Source organism: Homo sapiens, chromosome 12, assembly GCF_000001405.40.
Source record: "Homo sapiens chromosome 12, GRCh38.p14 Primary Assembly".
NCBI lineage: Eukaryota > Metazoa > Chordata > Mammalia > Primates > Hominidae > Homo > Homo sapiens.
In genome coordinates, this window is record NC_000012.12 from 121,848,864 (window position 1) to 121,855,095 (window position 6,232).

Below are 6,232 nucleotides of genomic sequence, written 5' to 3' on the forward strand. Positions count from 1 at the left end.
CCAGAATGCTGGGATTACGGGTGTGAGCCACTGCACCCAGTCGTATTTTCCATGTTAGTGCAAGGACCAGGGAGTGGGCCAGTCCACCGTGAGGACCCGTCATCTTCACGCAGAGGGAGAGGGCCAAGGTCTCACCATTCGGAGGCGGACACCATCTCCTGATCAGGCTGGTTTCCCACAATGTGGTCGATCATCTCCAGACTGCATTTGGGCCTGGGAAGGGAAGAAGATGGGGGTGAGAAGGTGGCTACCCCCCAGATTGCTCCCTTCTCCATGACCCCTCAATAATAATAATAGCTCACACTTCTGTTTTTGGAGTTCTATTTTTTTGTAGAGATGGAGTCTCTACAAAAAGAGAGACTCTTTTTTTTGCCCAGGTTGGTCTAAAACTCTGGGGCTCAAGTGAACCTCCTGCTTCAGACTCCCAAAGTGCTGGGATTATAGGTATGAGCCACTGCGCCTGGACTCACACTTATGTAGCATTTACTAATGGGCCGGACATTTTATTTTGTCAACTCATTTACTATTACAGTCCCCATTTTACAGATGAAGAAACTGAGGCCTAGAGAGATGAAGCGACTTGCCCAGGGTGAAATGGCTGTGAAGTAACAGAGCTGGGATTTGAACCCGGGGAAGTTTGGTTGCAGAGGCCATGGTCTCAGCCTCTGTGCCACCTCTTCAAGCACCCCTGAGGACTTCCAGGAATTCCCTAGCCGGCTCCATTCTGCCCCAACACACATGCGCAGTGGACATGGAGGAAGGGGCATTACTTTTCACAGTCCCTCAGGGCTTTCCACCCACCTCTGCCCTGAGGGACACTCACAGTTTAGGAAGTAGGGGGTCCATGAACGCTGGGGCCTCATATCCAGGCAAGAATTGGCCGATGTAGTTCATCTTCTCCACCAGGGTGTGTGTGGTGTCCCCATACTACGGGTGGAAAACAGCCTGGCTCGGCCCCTGGGCACCCATCCCCGCCGAGGACAGAGCACATTTCATAGCGCTAACGTAGCCCCGGGTTCCAACCTGCATCTGACCCTAACCAGATGCGTGATCTTGGGTAAGTCACTTCTCCTTTCTGAAATGAATTGCAATCTGTCACTTGTTTGAGAGTTTCCGTGAGGGCGGGGACACTGTTTTGCTCATGATGGTGTACCCAGCGCCAAGCTCAGTGCCTGGCACAGGGGAGGTACTCAATGAAGCACCTACTTCATTTATTTCAGTAGGTCAACTAGATGAAGAACGCAGGAGGGCATTGGATTAAATTATACTGAAGAGCAGCCTGGCGCGGTGGCTTAGGCCTGTAATCCCAGCACTTTGGGAGGCCAAGGCGGGTGGATCATGAGGTCAGGAGATCGAGACCATCCTGGCGAACACGGTGAAATCCTGTCTCTACTAAAAAATACAAAAAATTAGCCGGGTGTGGTGGCGTGGCGGGTGCCCGTAGTCCCAGCTACTTGGGAGGCTGAGACAGGAGAATGGCATGAACCCAGGAGGCAGAGCTTGCAGTGAGCAGAGATCGTGCCACTACACTCCAGCCTGGGCGACAGAATGAGACTCCGTCTCAAAAAAAAAATTATACTGAAGAGTTCTGTCAGCCACTTTAACCATCTTTTTTTTTTTTTTTTTTTAAGGCGGAGTCTCACTCTGTCACTCAGGCTGGAGTGCATTGGCACGATCTCGGCTTACTGCAACCTCCATCTCCCGGGTTCAAGCCATTCTCCTGCCTCAGCCTCCTGAGTAGCTGGGATTATAGGCGTGTACCACCATGCCGGGCCCACCTCAACATCCCAAAGTGCCGGGATTACAGGCATGAGCCACTGTACCTAGCCTTTTTTTTTTTTTTTTTTTTTGTTTGAGACGGAGTCTTGCTTGTTGGCCAGGCTAGAGTGTAGTGGTGTGATCTTGGCTCTCTGCAACCTCCGCCTCCCAGGTTCAAGCGATTCTCCTGCCTCAGCCTCCCAAATAGCTGGGACTACAAGCACGTGCCACCACACCTGGCTAATTTTTTTTTTTTTTTGAGACAGAGCTCCGCTCTTGTTGCCCAGGCTGGAGTGCAATGGTGCGATCTTGGCTCACCACAACGTCTGCCTCCCGGGTTCAAGCGATTCTCCTGCCTCAGCCTCCTGAGTAGCTGGGATTACAGGCATGCACCACCACGTCCAGCCAATTTTGTATTTTTAGTAGAGATGGGGTTTCTCCATGTTGGTCAGGCTGGTCTCAAACTCCCAACCTCAGGTGATCCGCCCCCTTGGCCTTCCAAAGTGCTGGGATTACAAGCATGAGCCACCGTGCCCAGCCCCACACCTGGCTAATTTTTGTGTTGTTTTACTTAGTGACATGGGGTTTTACCATTTTGGCCAGGCTGGTCTTGAACTCCTGACCTCAAGTGATCCACCCACCTTGGCCTCCCAAAGTGCTGGGATTACAGGCACACTTTAACCATTTTTATGTTTAATTTAATTTTTTAACTTTTATTTTTTAAAATTTTTATTTATTTATTTGAGATGGAGTCTCGCTCTGTCGCCCAGGCTGGAGTACAGTGGTGCAACCTTGGCTCACTGCAACCTCTGTCTCCCGGGTTCAAGTGATTCTTCTGCCTCAGCCTCCCGAGTAGCTGGGATTACAGGCGCCTGTCATGCCCAGCTAATTTTTGTATATTTAGTAAAGACAGGGTTTTGCCACGTTGGCCAGGCTGGTCTCGAACTCCTGAACTCAGGTGATCCACCTGCCTCGGCCTCACAAAGTGCTGGGATTACAGGCACACTTTAACCATTTTTATGTTTAATTTAATTTTTTAACTTTTTAAAACATTTTTATTCATTTATTTATTTATTTATTTTTTTTTTTTTTTTTTTTTTTTTTTTGAGACGGAGTCTCGCTCTGTCGCCCAGGCTGGAGTGCAGTGGCGCGATCTCGGCTCACTGCAAGCTCCGCCTCCCGGGTTCACGCCATTCTCCTGCCTCAGCCTCCCGAGTAGCTGGGACTACAGGCGCCCGCTACCACGCCCGGCTACTTTTTTGTATTTTTTTTTTTTTTTTTTTAGTAGAGACGGGGTTTCACCGTGTTAGCCAGGATGGTCTCGATCTCCTGACCTCGTGATCCGCCCGCCTCGGCCTCCCAAAGTGCTGGGATTACAGGCGTGAGCCACCGCGCCCGGCCTATTCATTTATTTTTGAGACAGAGTCTCACTCTGTCAACCAGGCTGAAGTGCAGTGGTGTGATAACAGCTCACTGCAGCCTCTACCTCCTGGACTCAAGCAATCCTCCCACCTCAGCCTCCCATGTAGGTGGGACCACAGGCATGCTCCATCATGCCTGGCCAATTTTTAATTTTTTCGTAGAGATGGGGTCTCACTTTGTTGCGCAGGCTGGTCTCAAATTCCTGGGCTCAAGCAGTCCTCTTGCCTTGGCCTCCCAAATTGCTGAGATTACAGGTGTGAGCCACTGCACCTGGCCTATTTATTTTTTATTTGTATTTTTAATTTTTGTAGAGATGGGGTCTCCCTATCTTGCCCATGCTGGTCTCGAACTCCTGGCCTCAAGTGATCCTCCTGCCTCAGCCTCCCAAACTGCTGGGATTATAGGTGTGAGCCACTGTGCCCAGCCCTTTATGTTGAATTTAATCTCAAGGAGGTAAGAGCTATGATTGTCTCTGTATTACAGTAACACGGGTCCTAAACAGAATTGGTCATCTTTGCTGAGTGTCTAATGTGCCAGGCACTGTTCTAAGTGCTATACACAAATGACCTCATTGGATCCTTTTTTTTTTTTTTTTTTTTTTTTTTTTTTGAGAGGGAGTCTTGTTCTGTCGCCCAGGCTGGAGTGCAGAGGTGCAATCTTGGCTCACTGCAACCTCTGCCTCCTGGGTTCAAGCGATTCTCCCACCTCAGCCTCCCAAGTAGCTGGGACTACAGGTGCACACCACCATGCCTGGCTAACTTTTGTATTTTTTTTTAGTAGAGGTGGGGTTTCACCATGTTGGCCAGGCTAACTTCTGACCTCAAGTGATTCGCCCGCCTCAGCCTCCTACAGTGCTGGGATTATGGGCGTGAGCCACTGCGCCCAGTTCTCATTGGATCCTTACGATGACCCTATGAGGAGTCATAGTTGAAGATACTGAGGCTTGCAGCCATAAAAAGGAACAAGATCATGTCCTTTACGGGGACATGGATGGAGCTGGAAGCCGTTATCCTCAGCAAACTAACGCAGGAACAGAAAACCAAACACTGCATGTTCTCACTTAGAAGTGAGAGCTAAATGATGAGAAAAGATGGACACATCACGGGGAACAACAGACACTAGGGCCTGTCAGGTGGGGGAGGTCGGGGAGGGAGTGCACCAAGGAGAGTAGCTAACAGATGCCGGGCTTAATACCTAGGTGATGGGATGATCTGTGTAGCAAACCACCATGCATGCGTTTACCTATGTAACAAACTTGAACATCCAGCACATATACCCCAGAACCTATAATAAAAGTTGAAGAGGTGGGGCGCGGTGGCTCACACTTATAATCCCAGCACTTTGGGAGGCTGAGGCGGGCGGATCACAAGGTCAGGAGATCGAGACCATCCTGGATAACACGGTGAAACCTCTACTAAAAATACAAAATTTAGCCGGGCGTGGTGGCGGGCGCCTGTAGTCCCAGCTACTCGGGAGGCTGAGGCAGGAGAATGGCGTGAACCCGGAAGGCAGCGCTTGCAGTGAGCCGAGATCGTGCCACTGCACTCCAGCCTGGGCGACAGAGCGAGACTCCATCTCAAAAAAAAAAAAAAAAAGAAAAAAGAAAGTTGAAGAAAACAGCCTGGCACGGTGGCTCACGCCTGTAATCCCAGCACTTTGGGAGGCTGAGGCGGATGGATCACTTGAGGTCAGGAGTTCGAGACCAGCCTGGCCAACATGGCAAAACCCTGTCTCTACTAAAAACACAAAAATTAGCCGTGTGTGCGGGTGGATGCCTGTAATCCCCAGGAGGCTGAGACAGAAGAATCACTTGAGCCCAGGAGGCAGAGGTTGCAGTGAGCTGAGATCACGCGACTGCACTCCAGCCTGGGCGACAGAGAGACTCCGTCTGAAAAAAGAAAAAAGAATAAAAAAAAAAGAAAAAGGCCGGGCACAGTGGCCCACGCCTGTAATCCCAGCACTTTGGGAGGCTGAGTTGGGCGGATCACCAGGTCAGGAGATTGAGACCATCCTGGCTAACACGGTGAAACCCCATCTCTACTAAAAATACAAAAAAGAAAAAATTAGCCGGGCATGGTGGCACGCACTTGTGGTCCCAACTACTCGGGAGGCTGAGGCAGGAGAGTCACTTGAACCTGGGAGGCGGAGGTTGCAGAGAGCCAAGATCACACCACTACACTCCAGCCTGGGCGACAGAGCGAGACTCCATCTTTAAAAAAAAATTTTTTTGAGGAAAACAAAAAGATACTGCTGAGGCACAGGAAAGTTAAGCGCATGTCCCAGACCACATAGGTGTTCCAGTTCCAGTCTTTGCTCATTTAAACAGAGTCATAGAGAGGTACAGTAATATGCCCAAAGTCACACAGCTCGTGTGGGAACTGATGTCCCCAGACCCCATCCTTCTCCCTTCTTCAGAGCCCCTGCCTTCACCCCCTTGCTGTCATCCTCCCGCACTGGGAGGAAGGGAAGCCTGGGAGGAGTGGCTGGTGGCTCCTGCAGTCCCCGTACACTGGCCAGGCAATACGGGGGACAGACTTGAGGGACAATGTCTGTGCTCCAAGGCCCATGGGTGGGATGGTTTGATGGAGTCAGCTGCGGGGCTCCTGGCATCTCAGTGGTGCCGACAGCAGGAGGGGTGGGGGCACCAAAGGGAACTCACCGTCTGCAGCACAGCAAACTTCACCTTCCCAAACTTGTCTTGCTCTACCCAGGGCTCCCGCATGATTTTGGCGCCCCGTTCCCGTGCTTTCTGCAGAGAAGATGGGATCGGGGAATTGGTGAGGGCTGGAGCCTTCCAGAACCCTTGCCTGCTGCTCCTGCCTGGTGGCCTCTGCGTGGTCCTGCAGGCCCCTCCAGTTTCTCCAGCCCCAGGTAGGAACCCCAGCCAGCTTCAGCCATTACCCCCAATACTCATGCTCATTTGGCAAATAGGGAAACTGAGGCCCAGGCCCAGAGTTGGGGCTATGGGAGACAAACTAGGTAGGGATGGGTGTCTGTCCTGCCTCTGCTAACTCCCCCTGTGATCAGTCCCCTTCTCTAGTCCTCAATTTCA

At 51.1% G+C, this 6,232-nt stretch overlaps 1 protein-coding gene across 2 annotated transcripts in view; it reads right to left on the reverse strand.

Annotated features, from left to right (window-relative positions):
• HPD (4-hydroxyphenylpyruvate dioxygenase) overlaps nucleotides 1-6,232 on the reverse strand; it is a 49,085-nt gene that overhangs the window by 9,337 nt on the left and 33,516 nt on the right. For both annotated transcript variants that reach the window (NM_001171993.2, NM_002150.3), the window contains 3 exons: nucleotides 5,840-5,929; nucleotides 824-927; nucleotides 136-213 (listed from right to left, as the gene is read on the reverse strand). In NM_001171993.2, coding sequence (NP_001165464.1) covers nucleotides 136-213; nucleotides 824-927; nucleotides 5,840-5,929 — 272 coding nt within the window. The remainder of the gene's footprint in view (nucleotides 1-135; nucleotides 214-823; nucleotides 928-5,839; nucleotides 5,930-6,232) is intronic.